We start from the raw sequence: 16,384 nt of genomic DNA, 5'->3' as shown, positions 1-16,384 counted from the left end.
GGAATAACATTTTTAGAAGAAATTTTCATCTTTTTTTGCCTTTAGCTAATTTTGTTTGTAACAGACAAAATTAGCTTATACTTTTGTTACTTAATTAATTCTCTCACTTATTTTCTCTTAGCATTCTGCCGGTGACCAGCTCTTCAATGTCCTATCTCTTTCCTTTCCGAACTTGCTGCCAATTCCTGAGTCCAAGTCCTTGGCACTTTATTAACATTTTTAAAAAACTGGGCTTTAATTGGGGTCTCTTTGCATCCTAGAAACAATCCTACACACTGGCTGCCTGATCTTTCCCAAGCAGAGGGTCCAGAGCCTCTGCTGACTTGGCTTACATGCACAGTCAAGATTCCAGCATTGGCCTGGCAATTGGTTCCTGCCCTTCCTCCACCTCTCTGTCTTTCTCTTCAGAAGCTGCTCTTTCAACCACTGTCCCGGTCTTACTAATCATGCCCTTCTCTCAGTGCCCCACACACTTTTGCTTCCACTGCCGGCCTTCACCCTGCTTGTGTGTGCCTCCCACTGTCCCCTGCTTCGTGCCTTCTCCTTCCATGAGGCCCCTGGTGACTGTTCCTTTCCCTGGATGCCTGTTCAGTGAAGAAACCACTGTTAGGTTCTTGGCATGTGATACTTTGTGCTGTCACTTTTTTTATATGTCTGTAAGCCATGTGTGCACAGGGACCATGTCTTACAGGAGGAGTAGGATGACAAAAAATAGCCGTGGGACAAGGCACACCCTGGGGACTAGTCCCAACTCCAACACTGTAGCCTGGGAAAAACCAACCAACCTCTCTGGGATCTCAGTTCTCTCATTTGTCCAATGACAAGTTGTGCAAGAGGGGTTTGGTCTGGATCTTCTTCTTACATCCCCTCCCTTGCCTTGGACATGGCAAGTGTCAGGAAAGTGAACAATGGCACTGTCTCAGAACAGATTTCCACAAAGGGCCCCGCCAAGCTAGAGGATGTGTGTTTGCGTTTCACTTCGGGGAGACTGCTCTTTTCTGATCACTACCCAAACTGGCCCTGGCACGTGGGTCTGGCTCGGAACACAGCTGGCAGCTCTGGGAAGCTGAGCCGCCAAAGTGCTGCTACCACAGATGTGGGAAAGATTACACCCTGTGCGGAAATGGCTTGTCGTTTTCACAAGGTGAGGTGTTTGCTCTGCCGTCAGGAGAGCAACTCTCACGGCTTTTACAAAGCGGGCCCTCTGGCTGCCAAGTCCTCGGGGGCAGGCCTCTTAAACCACTATCAGTTCAGGAACCTCATGGACACTATTTTAAGCTTTTACAAGCTAGATAACACTCCAGCAATCCCCTTTATGATTTGGCCTTTTCCTTCAGAGCTTTAGGGCACATGGTGGTGTAGCCACATCTTAAGAAACAGTAGGGGAGGGAAGGCCTGATAGCTCAAAGCACATTTGCTAGGAGGGGAGGACACACTATTGTGTTTCTGTTGTCTGCCTCTGCCTAGCACCTGGAGAGCAGTTTCCTTTCTAAAAACAGTCCACCTTCTTCAAGGGTCAAGCCACATGGGGTTCTAAGGCCGTCTCAAGGCTTTCATCCTCGAGGCCATATTTAAGCTGCTTAATTTTTAAAATTTTCTAATTCACTGGTTATTTTTGCAAAAAAATTATATGCACACAGTTTTCTTAAGATATTCTAGGCCAGGTGTGGTGGCTCATGCCTGTACTCCCAACACTTTGGGAGGCTGAGGCGGGTGGATCACTTGGGGTCACCAGCCTGGCCAACATGGTGAAACCCCATCTCTACTAAAAAAATACAAAAAAATTAGCCAGGCGTGGCAGCGTGCCCCTGCAGTCCCAGCTACTCAGGAGACTGAGGCAGGAGAATGGTGTGAACCCAGGAGGCGGAGCTTGCGGTGAGCCGAGATAGTGCCACTGCACTCCAGCCTGGCAACAAAGCGAGACTCCGTCTCAAAAAAAAAAAAAAAAAAAAAAAAAAGATATCTAAAAGTTCAAAGGGACTATGTAATGAAAATTAAGTGGCCTTCATACTCTCAACCCTCTCCCTGGAGGCAACCACCAGTATCCATTTCATATGTATCATAGTGGGCTTCCAGAAATATCCTGTGCCCATGCTGCAGATGTATGAGTGTGTGTAAAATCGCCCTCATTTTTATATAAATAAACCCACTTTGGACAATTGTGATAAATATTGCTCTTTTTACTTTTAAGTATCTTGTAGATCTTTAGGCACATATAGATCTATGTCATTTTTTTAGTTTTTGCCTAATACCCTATTGTATGGATGTACCCAAAAAGTTTAATTTGCATCCTGGTGCACCTTTACATTATGCCCGAGTTTTTGCTTCTATTGATAATGCTGCAATGAATACACTTATACTACACAACTTTGGGCATATGTATACCAATTTCTATCACCTTCCTCCTGTCTTACTTTTAATAAGTCTCTTCAGCTCAGAGGTGTAGACTGCTAGAAACTCTCTCCTCACCCCGTGTTTAAAGATCCTTTAAAATGTGTAGTGCAATGATAGGCAGCATATCCTGCTTGGATATGAGTCCAGGATCCACCATGTACTCGCTGACTAACATTGGGCAAGTTACGTAGTCCTCTGTGCCTCAATTTCCTCATGCGGAAAATGAAGATAATCATACAACCTCATGCCGGGCATGGTGGCTCACGCCTATAATCCCAGCACTTTGGGAGGCCGAGGCGGGTGGATCACGAGGTCAGGAGATTGAGACCATCCTGGCTAACACAGTGAAACCTCATCTCTACTAAAAATAAAAATAAAAAAAAATTAGCCGGGCATGGCGGCGGGCGCCTGTAGTCCTAGCTACTAGGGAGGCTGAGGCAGGAGAACGGCGTGAACCTGGAAGGTGAAGCTTGCAGTGAGCCGAGATTGCGCCACTGCACTCCAGCCTGGGCAACAGAACAAGACTCTGTCTCAAAAAAAAAAAAATCATACGACCTCATAGAGATGTTTATGGGTTAAATGTTAACGTATGAAAATGTTTTCAAAAGTGCCTGGTACATAGAAGATAATATATCTAAATTATAATAATGAATGTATAATATTATTATATAATTATATATTATATGACAGAATATAGAAAATATATAATTATATAACCTGTATATTATATATATAAAATAGTAATAACAGCAGTTTGTATACATATATATAAAACAGCAGTTTGTGTGTGTGTGTGTGTATAGACACACACACACACACACACACACACACTGCTGTTATTATCACTGTTTTTGCTGTTGTAACTTAATAGGGATGAAATCCCTCAGAGGAGACTTAAATTATGGGTCTTCTTGGGAAGAAAGTGAATGATCTTTGTCTTATATGACCCATGTGCTTTACATGGCATCTTATTTAATCCTCACAGTGGTAAGTAAGAATGATACTGTCAACTCCTGTTTTATTGAGGCTGAAACTTGGGCTCAGATAGTTGGGCAAGTTGCCCAAGAGTCACACACATAGTAAGTGGCAGAGGCAGGGGTGGCCTCTGGGCTTGATTTCAAAGGCACTAAACTATAGAGACTTAAATGCCTAAAGAATCTGTGGCTGGGATCCACTCTTTTTTTTTGAGTGGAGGTTGGGACTATGGACCACTGGCTTCTGGCCTGAGGAAGGGTGTGGATGACAGAACATACTCGGTAGTTGGAGAGAAGCATCTTGAGCAAGGAGTGTTATAAGGTCTTGGAAAGGGAGCCTGGAGTTGTCAAAGCCCCAGGTGATGGGAGGAATATTGACTTGCCACTTCTCTCTCCTATTTCTCCCCTTAAATGTAGTCTTCATATTCAGATACTTTCAACTTCCAGACCCTCCACCAGGGATGGCCCATCTTGCCCACTGTGAGCTTTCTCACCTTCTTTCCTGGGCTGCAGCAGTTCCCTTCACTTCCTTTACTCTCCCCTCTCTCATCTGCCAGCTGATCAACCTCTCCTTTAAAACCTTTTCTTTGCACAATGGAATGATGTACTGGCTTCTTGCCCAAACCAAAATAGTATGGGTTCTATTTATCTTTTCTATGCTTAGACAGGAAAATCAAAATCTTCAATTCTCTTGAATTTTGGATGACTCAATGCTCAGGCTAGTACTCAACAAATGGCAAAAAAAAAAAAAAAAAAAAGGAAAGTTTGCTTTCTTCTTTTGAAATAAGTTAGGTGAGGAGAACAGGAGAGCAGTTTGGTGAGAAGGGGAAAGTGAGGCATACTGAGGTATAAAAAGCTAGGGGGTTTTAGTCTTATGATCATAAACTTCAGAAGATTCCTGTGCCTGGTTTCTCTTAAGTTCAGGAATTAAAATGAGAATGATGACTCAGTGGTAGCCAAGCGTGAATAACTTAAGCTCAACCATAGGATCTCAGCACCCAGGCTTCCTCGTAACTACAATGGAAAACTTAGATGTGGTGATCACTAGAACTCCACTGACTGACCACAGAGGAATTGTACCTTACCTCTGCAATGGGATATTTCTTAGCGCAAGTGCTATTTGCTGGATCTGGAATTTCTCTGCTACACCACTGAGGTCTGAGGGCTGCTAGGAGAACAAACACCCTATAGATAAAGAAAACAGTGACATTTCCTTAGGTGTGCACACAGTGGCATGGAAGCACAGGTTCTCAGTGCAGTAACTTCAGTGTAAGGGCTGCTTTTGTATGCAAATAAAAGATAAACACTGAAAGACAAAGATGATTTATCATCCAAGACTACGGTAGTTTTCTGTAAAATTACAACACAGCCACTTGAGGTTTGCTAAATAAACCATGGAACTTTTGATCAACCTAATATTTAGCAATCTATCACTAGCCAGCTATGCATTCATTCAACAAATATTGATTGAACCCCTAATATGTGACCAGCACAATGCTACCTGCCAAGCATTGAAGATGACATGTTCCCTACCCTTACTATTTAGCTAATTAGAATATTTACAAAGAGTTTGTAATGACAGGTAAATTATGTGAACAGTTGAAAAAAAGACGGGATTCAAAATGGTATAAATAGCTTGAACACAACCATGTTAAAAATGCCAAGAAAAAAGTATTATAGGGAAATATCTGAAATATCTATTAACAGTGATTGTATTTGGCAATAAGAGGAAATACAGGTCTTTTATGATGTAGAAGGAAAAATCCTAAAAACATTTCTTATAAATGCATGTGACTTATTTTTTTTAAAGTTCATGAACAATATGAAACATTTTTAAAGACTTGGCTTTCATAAGCTTTGATTTTTTTTTTTTTTTAAAAGTATGCTTTACAATTTGTCTAACCTTTTGAAGTAAGAGATGTGGCCATGTGACTAGGTTTTCTCCAAAGAAATATGAGCAGAAGTGTCTGTGATCTCATAGAGATCATGCAGATGAGGACAATACCTAAGGGATGGTATGCCAAAAAGATGGAAGAAAACTGAGTCCACAAATAACTATGGAGCACAGCTGCCCACCAGTCTGGATACCTTACCTCAGGGCTGTTATATGGAAGATAAATAAAGTATTATTTAAGCCACTGTGCTTTGGGTCCTCTTTTTTTTTTTAAGGCAGTTTAGCCTGCACTGTAACTGATCTTCACAATTTCCATGAAGAGGATGCATGTGATCCTAGTTGACTCCTTTTGAATTAAACTTTTTCAAAGTCTACCCAAAGAGAGCTTCACGTTGAAGTATCTATCACACATTAGATCTTCAATAAATGTACAGCCTGTTAGACAAGTTCAATGGCTGGTAGAATGACTTTGAGTTAGAGGTCAAAAGACCTCTTCTCTTACTTTACACAGCATTTGAAGAAAACTTTGTATTGAATAACCAACTCATTAAAAATCTTTTCTTTGAAAAATAATACATGTTTACTAAGGAAATTCTAAAAATATAATTAAACAAGAAAAACTAAAATCACCTACAATTATATCCCCAGATATAAACACCATTAATATTGTGGTTTAGGCTGGGTGCGGTGGCTCACGCCTGTAATCCCAGCACTTTGGGAGACTGAGGTGGGTGGATCATGAGGTCAGGAGTTTGAGACCAGCCTGGCCAACATGGTGAAACCCCATCTCTACCAAAAATACAAAAAGTAGCTGGGCGTGGTGGCGGGCACCTGTAGTCCCAGCTACTCAGGAGGCTGAGGCAGGAGAATCGATTGAACCCAGGAAGCAGAGGCTGCAGTGAGCCAAGATCATGCCACTGCACTCCAGCCTGGGCGACAGAGTGAGACTCTGTCTCAAAACAAAACAAAACAAAAATATTGTGGTTTATATCCTTGGGGCACAGAGTAATTGCCACCCAATATTCATTTTCCCCTCCTTCTTAGGAAGAGGACCCAGATTTACTAGGACGACAATGCACTTGGCTGAAGTACCACAGTTTTGTTTTCTTTTCTTGCAGCTCTACCTCAAAGGAAAGACCACAGTGTTTTTTTTGTTCTTATTGCCGTTTTAGGCTGGAGTGCAGTGGCGCAATCTCAACTTACTACAACCTCTGCCTCCTGTTCAGGTGATTCTCATGCCTCAGCCTCCTGAATACCGGGACTACAGGTGTGCACCACCATGGCTGACTAATTTTTGTATTTTCAGTAGAGACAGAGTTTCACCATGCTGTCCAGGCTGGTCTTGAACTCTTGACCTGAGGTGATCTGCCTGCCTCAGCCTCCCAAAGTGCTGAGATTACAGGCATGAGCCCCGGCGCCCAGCCTCAGTCATGTTATTTTGACTTTTATATTATATATAACCAAATTTAATGCTAACTGATATATCTTACATTTGCATCTGTGTGTATGCACTATTTTTAAGAAATGAAAGTACGTATTGTTTGGCAGGCTGCCTTTTAAATGGAACATGGTAAATATTGTTCATACCATTTAATTTCTTTCTTTTTTTTTTTTTTTTTGAGACAGTCTTGCTGTGTTGCCAGGGTGGAGTGCAGTGGTGCAATCTCGATTCACTGCAATCTCCACCTCCCAGGTTCAAGTGATTCTCCTGCCTTAGCCTCCTGAGTCTCAGCTGGGACTACAGGCTCGTGCCACCACACCCAGCTAATTTTTGTATTTTTAGTAGAGATGGGGTTTCAACATGTTGGCCAGGATGGTCTCCATCTCCTGACCTGGTGATCCGCCCGCCTCAGCCTCCCAAAGTGCTGGGATTACAGGTGTGAGCCATTGTGCCCGGCCTGCCATACTATTTAATTTCTACATCATCTTTCATGGACACATAATATGTTATAGTACAAGATATATCAGGATTTAGTTAACCAATCCCTTATCATTGGGCGTTTAGGTTGTCTCAAATATTTTTCTTTTCTGAAAATTATTACAGTGAACATATTTTCCACTAAATATCTGCAGACATCTATAATAGAATAGGCTTGGTGCAGTGGCTCATACCTGTAATCCCAGCACTTTGGGAGGCTGAGGCAGGTGGATCACTTGAGGTCAGGAGTTCGGGACCAGTCTGGCCAACATGATGAAACCCTGTCTCTAATAAAAAATACAAAAATTATCTGGGCATGGTGGTGGGCACCTGTAATCCCAGCTACTCAGGAGGCTGAGGCAGGACAATTGCTTGAACCCAGGAGGCGGAGGTTGCAGTGAGCCAAAATCACACCATTGCACTTCAGCCTGGGCGACAAGAGTGAAACTCTGTCTCAAAAAAATTTTTTTGGGGGAAAAAAAGAATATATATATATATATATATATATATATATATATATATATATATAAAATACATTTCTAGTTAGAGATTGTTAGATCAAAAGATATATTTTTAAGGATTTGACACATACTGTCACCCAAAGTGGTTAAATAAGTTTAGTCTCTCACCAGGAATGTGTGAGAGTGTCCATTTCCCTGACCCATGGCAGCAACAGCTATTATCATTTTTTAAAAGCCTCATTTACCCACTTGGTAGGTGTAACCAACTCACTTTTGCTGGAAGTAATGCGTTGAGAAAATGCCCACCATGATGATAGCAATGCAAATGCTTGGTGCCACAAACGCCATCCAATTGGCTTTACCTGAAAAGTTAGGAAATCCTGTGACTGAGTGAGTTATCACCAATGAACATTTCAAAATCCTGATTGGTGTATGCGCCCTCTGGGCCTTACCCACAGTTCCTGGGCAGCTGTGCTCAAGAATAAGGTAAATTCACTTTTGTCTATGCAGTGCGGGAAATGGGACCCTAAGGGGACCAATTCTATGGTTCCAAGAGGAGCTCTGGCCCTACAGGGCTCCTCCGACTCACAGGGTCAGAAAGAAAGGAGGTACGGAATGCAAAGTACAGTTGTGAATTGGGAGCCTTGTCTTAGTCCTGGCTGTGCCGCTAGCAGATGTGTAATCTGTGGACTTCAGTTTATTTCCTTCTTTTTTTTTTTTTTTTTTTTTTTTGAGATGGAGTCTCACTGTGTCTCCCAGGCTGGAGTGCAATGGCGCAATCTCAGCTCACTGCAATCTCCGCCTCCCGGGTTCAAGCGATTCTCCTGCCTCAGCCTCCCGAGCAGCTGGGACTACAGGCGTGTGCCACCACGCCCGGCTAATTTTTGTATTTTTAGTAGAGACAGGGTTTCACCATATTGGCCAGGGTGGTCTTGAACTCCTGACCTCATGATCTGCCTGCCTCGGCCTCCCAAAGTGCTGGGATTACAGGCGTGAGCCACCGTGCCCGGCCTGGACTTCAGTTTCTTGATCTATAAAATGCGAATGGTGACATGTACCTTGCTGGTTGTCATGAAGATCAGAGATGGTATATTTAAAGCACATGGCAGTGTGTCTGAATATAGGAGGTCCTCAAGAAACAGTAGCTATTAATTTTAGCAAAGTATAGCATAAGCCTTTATCTAGCTAGGGTGATTGTGAAATGTTTGAAATGTTTGAAATTGTGCCTATTCTTTCCTATGAAAAGAACTACAGCATTTTACTACTTATTGGAATTGGCCATTAATTCATCCAGCACTCGCTGAGTAGTAACCAGGTAACAGGCTCTGTTAGGTGCTGGGATACAAAGATAAATAGGACATGGCTCTGCTGTCTAAAGAAGTCATGAATGTAGTATAGGATACAGATGTGTGAACATGTAAACAATAAGCCATAATGCCATGGTGATATGGTTTGGCTGTGTGCCCACCCAAATCTCATCTTGAATTGTAATTCCCATAATCCCCACATGTGGTGGGAGGGACCCACTGGGAGGTAATTGAATCATGGGGGCAGTTACCCCATGCTACTCTTCTCATGCTATGAGGGAGTTCTCACAAGAATCTGATGGTTTCATAAGGGGCTTTACCCCTGCTTTGCTCTCATTCTTCTCTCTCCTGCTGCCTTGTGAAGAAGGATGTGTTTGCTTTCCCTTCAGCCATGATTGTAAGTTTCCTGAGCCCTCCCTAGCCATGCTGAATTATGAGTCAATTAAACCTCTTTCCTTTATAAATTACCCAGTCTCAGATATGTCCTTATAGCAGCATGAGAACAGACTAATATAGTAAGTAAATTGGTACCATAGAGAGTGGGGTGCTGCTGTAAAGATACCTGAGAATGTGGAAGCAACTTTGGAAATGGATGAAGGCAGAGGTTGGAACAGTTTGGAAGGCTCAGAAGAAGACAGGAAAATGTGGGAAAGTTTGGAATTTCCTAGAGACTTGGAGGGCTGAGAAGATAGGAAGATGTGGGAAAGTTAGGAACTTCCTAGAGACTTGTCGAGTGACTTTGACCAAAATGCTGGTAGTGATGTGGACAATGAAGTTGAGAATGAGGTGGTCTCAGATGGAGACAAGGAACTTGTTGGGAACTGGAGTAAAGGTTACTCTTGCTATGCAAACAGACTGGTGGCATTTTGTACCTGCCCCAGAGATCTTTGGAACTTTGAACTTGAGAGAGATGATTTAGGATATCTGGCAGAAGAAATTTCTAAGCAGCAAAACATTCAAGAGGAAGCAGAACATAGAAGTTTGGAAAATTTGCAGCCTGATGATTCAATAGAAAAGAAAACCCTATTTTCTGGGGAGAAAGTCAAGCTGGCTGCAGAAATTTGCATAGGTAATGAGGAGCCAAATGTTAATTACCAAGACAATGGGGAAAATATCTCCTGAGCATGTTAGGAACCTTCATGACAGCCCCTCCCATCACAGGCCTGGAGGCCTAGGAGGGAAAAATGGTTTTCAGGGCTGGGTCCAGGGCCCCCACTTCTGTATGCAGCCTTGGGACTTGGTGCTCTGCATCCTAGCCACTCCAGCTGTGGCTAAAAGGGACCAACATACAGCTCAGGCCGTTGCTTCATAGGGTGCAAGCCCCAGGCCTTGGCAGCTTCCATGTGGTTTTGGGCCTGTGGGTGTGCAGAGGTCAAGAGTTCAGGTTTGGAGAACTTTGCCTAGATTTCACAGGATGTATGGAAGTGCCTGGATGCCCAGGCAGAAGTTTGCTGCAGGGGCGGAGCCCTTATGGAGAACCTCTGCTAGAGCAGTGTGGAAGAGAAATGTGGGGTGCAAGCCCCTACACAGGGTCCCCACTGGGCACTGCCTAGTGGAACTGTGAAAAGAGGGCCACTGTCCTCCAGACCCTAGAATGGTAGATCCACTGACAGCTTGCACCATGCACCTGGAAAAGCTGCAGACACTCAATGCCAGCTGTGAAGGCAGTTGGGAGGGGGCTGTACCCTGCAAAGCCACAGAGGTGGAGCTGCCCAAGGCTGTGGGAGCCCACCTCTTGCATCAGCATGACCTAATGTGAGACATGGAGTTAACCTATTTATGCCTGAGGTTGCAATTTTTTGAATTTTTGCATGAGTGAAAAATCTGACCTTGGCAATGACCTTGAGCAGTAGGATATAAACAACTCCCACATGCTTAGCATTCCAATAATGGAACACTAGGCTTAAGTGGATCTAGGCAGGAGATCATTTTGGAGCTTTAAGATTTAATGATTGCCCTACTGGATTTTGGACTTGCATGGGGCCTATAGCTCCTTTGTTTTGGCCAATTTCTCCCATTTGGAAGGGGTGTATTTTCCCAATGCCTGTACCCCCTTTATATCTAGGAAGTAACTAGCTTGTTTTTGATTTTATAGGCTCATAGGTGGAAAAGACTTGCTTTGTCTCAGATGAGACTTTGGACTTGGACTTTTGGGCTATTACTGGAATGGCCTAAGACTTCAGGGGACTGTTCAAAATGCATGATTGTGTTTTGAAATGTGAGGACATGAGGTTTGGGAGGGGTCAGGAGTGGGATGATATGGTTTGGCTGTGTCCTCACCCAAATCTTATCTTGAATTGTAGTTCCCATGATCCCCACATGTGGTGTGAGGGACTTGCGGGGAGGTAATTCAATCATGGGGGCAGTTATCTTCATGCTGTTCTCATGATAGTGAGTGAGTTCTCACAAGAATTGATGGTTTTCTAAGGGGCCTTTCCCCCACTTGGCTCTCATTCTTCTCTCTCCTGGCACCTTGTGAAGGACATGTTTGCTTTCCCTTCTGCCACGATTATAAGTTTCCTTAGGCTTCCCCAGCCCTGTGGAACTGTGAATCAATTAAACCTCTTCCCTTTATAAATTATCCAGTCTCAGGTATGTCCTTATAGCAGCGTGAGAACAGACTAATTCACATGGGATATGTATGAAAACAGGGGTATATGCAATGTCCACAGCAGTGTAGCAGAGAACAGCATGGAAAACTGGCTCACAAGTAGCAGAGGAAGGTTTTGCAAAAGGCACAATGTCAAAAGTTTAGAGTTGATTAGCTGGGCATGGTGGCAGGAGCCTATAGTCTCAACTACTTGTGAGGCTGAGGCATGAGAATCACTTGGGCCCAGGATTTTGAGGCTGCAGTGAGCTATGATCATGCCACTATACTCCAGCCTGGACAATAGAGTGAGACCCTGTCTCAAAAAAAAAAAAAAATGTAGAGTTGGAGGATGAATAGGAGCCAGCTAAATGGATAAGCTAACAAAGGAAGACCAGACCAGAAAAAAAAAACTATGCAAAGGCATGGAAGGAGGGAACAGCCAGTACTTTCAGGCGACTGCAGAAAGTCTGGTCTTGCTCCATAATGAATGCTGAAGTGTGTGGCAAAGGATCAAACTAGATGGGTAAACAGGACCATGTGTACCTGGCAAGTATGGAGTTTTGAGTTCTAGCTTGAAGGCCCCTGGGGAACCACTGATGAGTTACAACAAGAGAAGTAATGCCAGCATCTGCAGTCTTGCAGAAAGACTCCTCTTCTGATTGAATGAAAAACAGGCTGGGAGGGAGAGTGAGCAGGAGGAGCTAGAGGCCAGAGACCTGTTAGGACCCATGAGAAGTGTCAACAGGGCTGAATAGGGAAGTTAATGGAGGTAACCTTTTTTCTACCCCATACAATCAGGAGGATCTGGCCTTCCTTTCTTTTTTAATTGAGATGGGGTCTTGCTATGTTGCCCAGGCAGGTGTGGAACTCCTGTGTTCAATCAATCCTCCCACCTTGGCCTCCCAAAGTGCTGAGATTATAGGTGGGAGCCACGGCACTTGGCCAAATCTCACGTTTCTTCAGCATCTGCTTTCCTTTCTGGGCAGATGGAACAAGTTTGGAGTAAAACCAGTAGCAAGATGCTGAGTCCTTTTTTGTTTTTATTTTTTTTTATTTTTGAGACAGAGTCTCGCTCTGTCACCCAGGCTGGAGTGCAGTGGTGCGATCTCAGCTCCCTGCAACCTCTGCCTCCTGGGTTCAAGTGATTCTCTTGCCTCAGCCTCCCAAGTAGCTGGGATTACAGGCATGTACCACCGCTCCCACCTAATTTTTGTCTGAGTCCTTAATCCACATTAATCGAGCAAGTTAACTTTCTTTCTTTTTTTTTTTTTTTTTTTTGAAACATAGTCTCACTCTGTCGCCCAGGCTGGAGGGCAGTGGTGCCATCTCGGCTCACTGCAAGCTCCGCCTCCTGGGTTTATGCCATTCTCCTGCCTCAGCCTCCCGAGTAGCCAGGACTACAGGCGCCCGCCACCATGCCCGGCTAATTTTTTTGTATTTTTTTAGTAGAGACGGGGTTTCACTGTGTTAGCCAGGATGGTCTCGATCTCCTGACCTCATGATCCGCCCTCCTCGGCCTCCCAAAGTCCTGGGATTACAGGCACGAGCTACCGTGCCCAGCTGCAAGTTAACTTTCATGGGAGTGCTGGGGAGATAAGAAGAAGTCTTGTCAATTTCCCAGTGGAGAGTTTCCTGGCATAGAACAACAAAGTCTCTTGAATGATCAACTTGATGCTTCATGTCACAAAGCAAGAACAGCTTGTTTTATGCTTAGAGCAGATGCAAATGAGCATTGCTAGAGAGAACAGTGTAACTTAGCTGGTGGAGGGAAGCCCATGCTAGCTGGGTCACTTATTCATCAGACTCAAATTTAATTTAAGCAACTCAAATCTGAGTTTGATTTGTAGTTCTGCCACTTACCACTTCCATGACCTTGGGTAATCTTTCTGTACCTTAGTCCCCTCACTTTAAAAAAGGCATGATAATCCTTCATTTTTAAATTCATTTCATATTGAGTGTCTGGTAGGATGGGGTAGGTATAACCATGTAATTTTGGTAAGGAAATATTAGCAAAAGTATGTGTTGTAGGTTGAACTGGGTGATCCTCAAATTTGTATGTTGAAGTCCTAAACCCCCAGCCTCAGAATGTGACCTCATTTGAAATTAGGATCATTGCATATATAATTAAGATGAAGTTATACTGGAGTAGAGTGGGCCCCTAATCCAATATGACTGGTGTCCTTATAAGAAGGAGACAATTTGGACACATGGAGAATGCCAGATGAAAGCAGAGACCTACAAGCCAAGTAATATCAATGACTGCCTGCAAATTACTGGAAAAGAGGAGAGAGGCCTGGAATAGATTCTCTCTCATAGCCCTCCGAAAGAACCAACCCTGCTGACACCTTGATTTTGGACTTCTAGCCTCTAGAACTGTGAGACAATAGATTTCTGTTGATTAGGCCACTCAGTTTGTGGTGCTTCGTTACAGCAGCCCCAGCAAATTAATGTAGTATACAAAGCGCTTAACAGAATGACTGTTGCATATGCAATAGCTGCTATTATTATTGTTGATGTGATTCTCATCATTTGTGTACAGATACTTAGTAAGCGAGTACTGTGTGCTGGCCGCCATGCTAGGCCTTGAAGACAGAGGTAAACAGATATCAATCCTTGCCTACAGGATTCAGAGTTTTGAGTAGGAGTTAAATGTAAGTGCATTATGTAAGGAGCATTTGGGAAGGCTTCCTGAAGGAGGAAGGATTTCCGATAAATTTTGAAACATGAGTAGACATTGTCTCCAGGAAGATAGTAGAGTGGTAAAGCATTCTATTTAGGAGAAACAGCAAGTGTAAAGTGACAGCAAGAAAGTTTTTAGTGAATTAAAGAAAATCTGATTATCTCTATACCAAATGTAATAGGAGTGCATGCCTGTGCAAGAATCCAGGGTGGACTCATCATCCTTAACACTGCCTCTCACCTTGCAGACAAAATTCCCTCTCATTTCCGTGGGAACTTTCACCAGCAGCTGTCAGAGCTGTCATCCACAGGACATATGTCACTCGGGGCTGCAGGCTGTTTATTGGATGTGAATTTTGGGAGACTCTGTAGGGAATTTCTGAAAGGAAGATAAAGGAAGAAAGGCATGTATTAAAGGATATGGCTTTTAATGTAGGCTTCTACTCATTCTTACTCTTTAATGCTTCATTTAATTTGGAAGGAAAAAGCATTTTGCTATTTTAAAATAGTCCAAATTCCTCAGTACTTAATACCTTAATAGGCCCTAGACATCGTCATTTATGGACATCTCACTCCACAGCATATTAAACAAATTATTTTTTTGTAGTAAAATCTTTTATTTTTACTTTATTTTCTAATTTTCTTTTCTCTTTTTTGTGTTTTGTGGTAAAATCTTTTGAATAAATTTTTGTTATTTTGCTTTTGAAAATATTTAGCTAAAGTTAACTCCCTTTATTTCCAATGATGATAACATTTCTAGTATTTATCAGGCTTATTTGGGAGTTCTGGAGGAGAAATGTTAAATTTACAAATTGTTTTCAAGGCTATGGAACTTTTTTTTTTTTTTTTTTTTTTGAGACAGGTTCTTGCTCTGTCGCCCAGGCTGGAGAGCAGTGATGCGATCTCGGCTCACTGCAACCTCCGCCTCCTGGGTTCAAGCAATTCTCCTGCCTCAGCTTCCCAAGTAGCTGGGACTACAGGTATGTGCCACCATGCCCAGCTAATTTTTGTATTTTTAGTAGTGATGGGGTTTCACCATGTTGGCCAGGCTGGTCTCGAACTCCTGACCTCAAGTAATCTGCCTGCCTTAGCCTCCCAAAATGCTGGATTACAAGTGTGAGTCACTGCGTCCGGCCAGTTATGAAATTTTGTATTTTGTATTTTTTTTGAGATGGAGTCTTGCTCTGTCGCCCAGGCTAGAGTGCAGTGGCACGATCTTGGCTCACTGTAACCTCCGCCTCCTAGGTTCAATCAATTCTCCTGCCTCAGCCTCCCAAGTAGCTGGGACTACAGGTGTGTGCCACCATGCCTGGCTAATTTTTGTATTTTTAGTAGAACGGGGTTTCACCATGTTGGCCAGGCTAATCTTGAAATCCTGGCCTCAAGTGATCTGCCCACCTCAGCCTCCCAAAGTGCTGGGATTATAGGCGTGAGCCCCCACACCCAGCCTATGTAAGTTTAACAATTAATGAAACAGACATTCACTTAACATTTTTTTTTTTTTTTTTTTTTTTTTGAGAAGAGTCTTGCTCTGTCACCCAGGCTAGAGTACAGTAATACGATCTTGGCTCACTGCAACCTCCGCCTCCCGAATTCAAGCAATTCTTCAGCCTCAGCCTCCTGAGTAACTGGGATTATAGGCACACGCCACCATGCTTGGCTAAGTTTTGTATTTTTAATAGAGATGGGGTTTCACCATGTTGGTCAGGCTGGTCTCGAACTCCTGACCTGGTGATCTGCCCGCCTCAGCCTCCCAAAGTGCTGGAATTACAGGCATGAGCCACATCACCTGGCCTCACTTAACATTTTTAAACTTTGATTTTGCACTTTTCCATTTGTAGGCTCTAGGCCCTTAGCTTAATGAGGATCTTATTCAGTCTGACATAAAATCATTAAAAACTAGAGCACCGATACTTAGATTAGATTTGGCAGCTGTAAACCTAGATTACCAGTTCCTTATGTTCTCAACACCCCTGCAGTTTTCTCTGTAGGGAAGATTTTGTGTTTTGAGTAATACACTGATGCTGTTTTTTAATCTAAGAAACATGAGTGTAGGTAGCCTTTAATGAATAGACAATCTTCTCCAGTGGCCTGTTGGGTTTGGATTTTGGAGTGACCTTTCAAAAGCTGGGGAGGATGGCAGAGTCAAGGCCAGCACTCTAGCAGA

At 43.2% G+C, this 16,384-nt stretch overlaps 1 protein-coding gene across 20 annotated transcripts in view; it reads right to left on the bottom strand.

Moving 5' to 3' along the window:
* IL12RB2 (interleukin 12 receptor subunit beta 2) overlaps positions 1–16,384 on the bottom strand; it is a 91,361-nt gene that overhangs the window by 4,143 nt on the left and 70,834 nt on the right. For 12 of the 20 annotated variants that reach the window (XM_011541384.3, XM_006710617.3, XM_005270827.3 and 9 more), the window contains 3 exons: positions 14,459–14,596; positions 7,913–8,003; positions 4,454–4,553 (listed from right to left, as the gene is read on the bottom strand). In XM_011541384.3, the coding sequence (XP_011539686.1) occupies positions 4,454–4,553; positions 7,913–8,003; positions 14,459–14,596 (329 nt within the window). Of the gene's footprint in view, positions 1–4,453; positions 4,554–7,374; positions 7,468–7,912; positions 8,004–14,458; positions 14,597–16,384 lie in introns of all 20 variants that reach the window. The other 8 variants (XM_017001203.2, XM_047419669.1, XM_047419668.1 and 5 more) reach the window with 4 other exon arrangements.

Source organism: Homo sapiens, chromosome 1, assembly GCF_000001405.40.
Source record: "Homo sapiens chromosome 1, GRCh38.p14 Primary Assembly".
Classification (NCBI taxonomy): Eukaryota; Metazoa; Chordata; class Mammalia; order Primates; family Hominidae; genus Homo; species Homo sapiens.
This window is presented reverse-complemented; position numbering and strand designations above follow the sequence as displayed.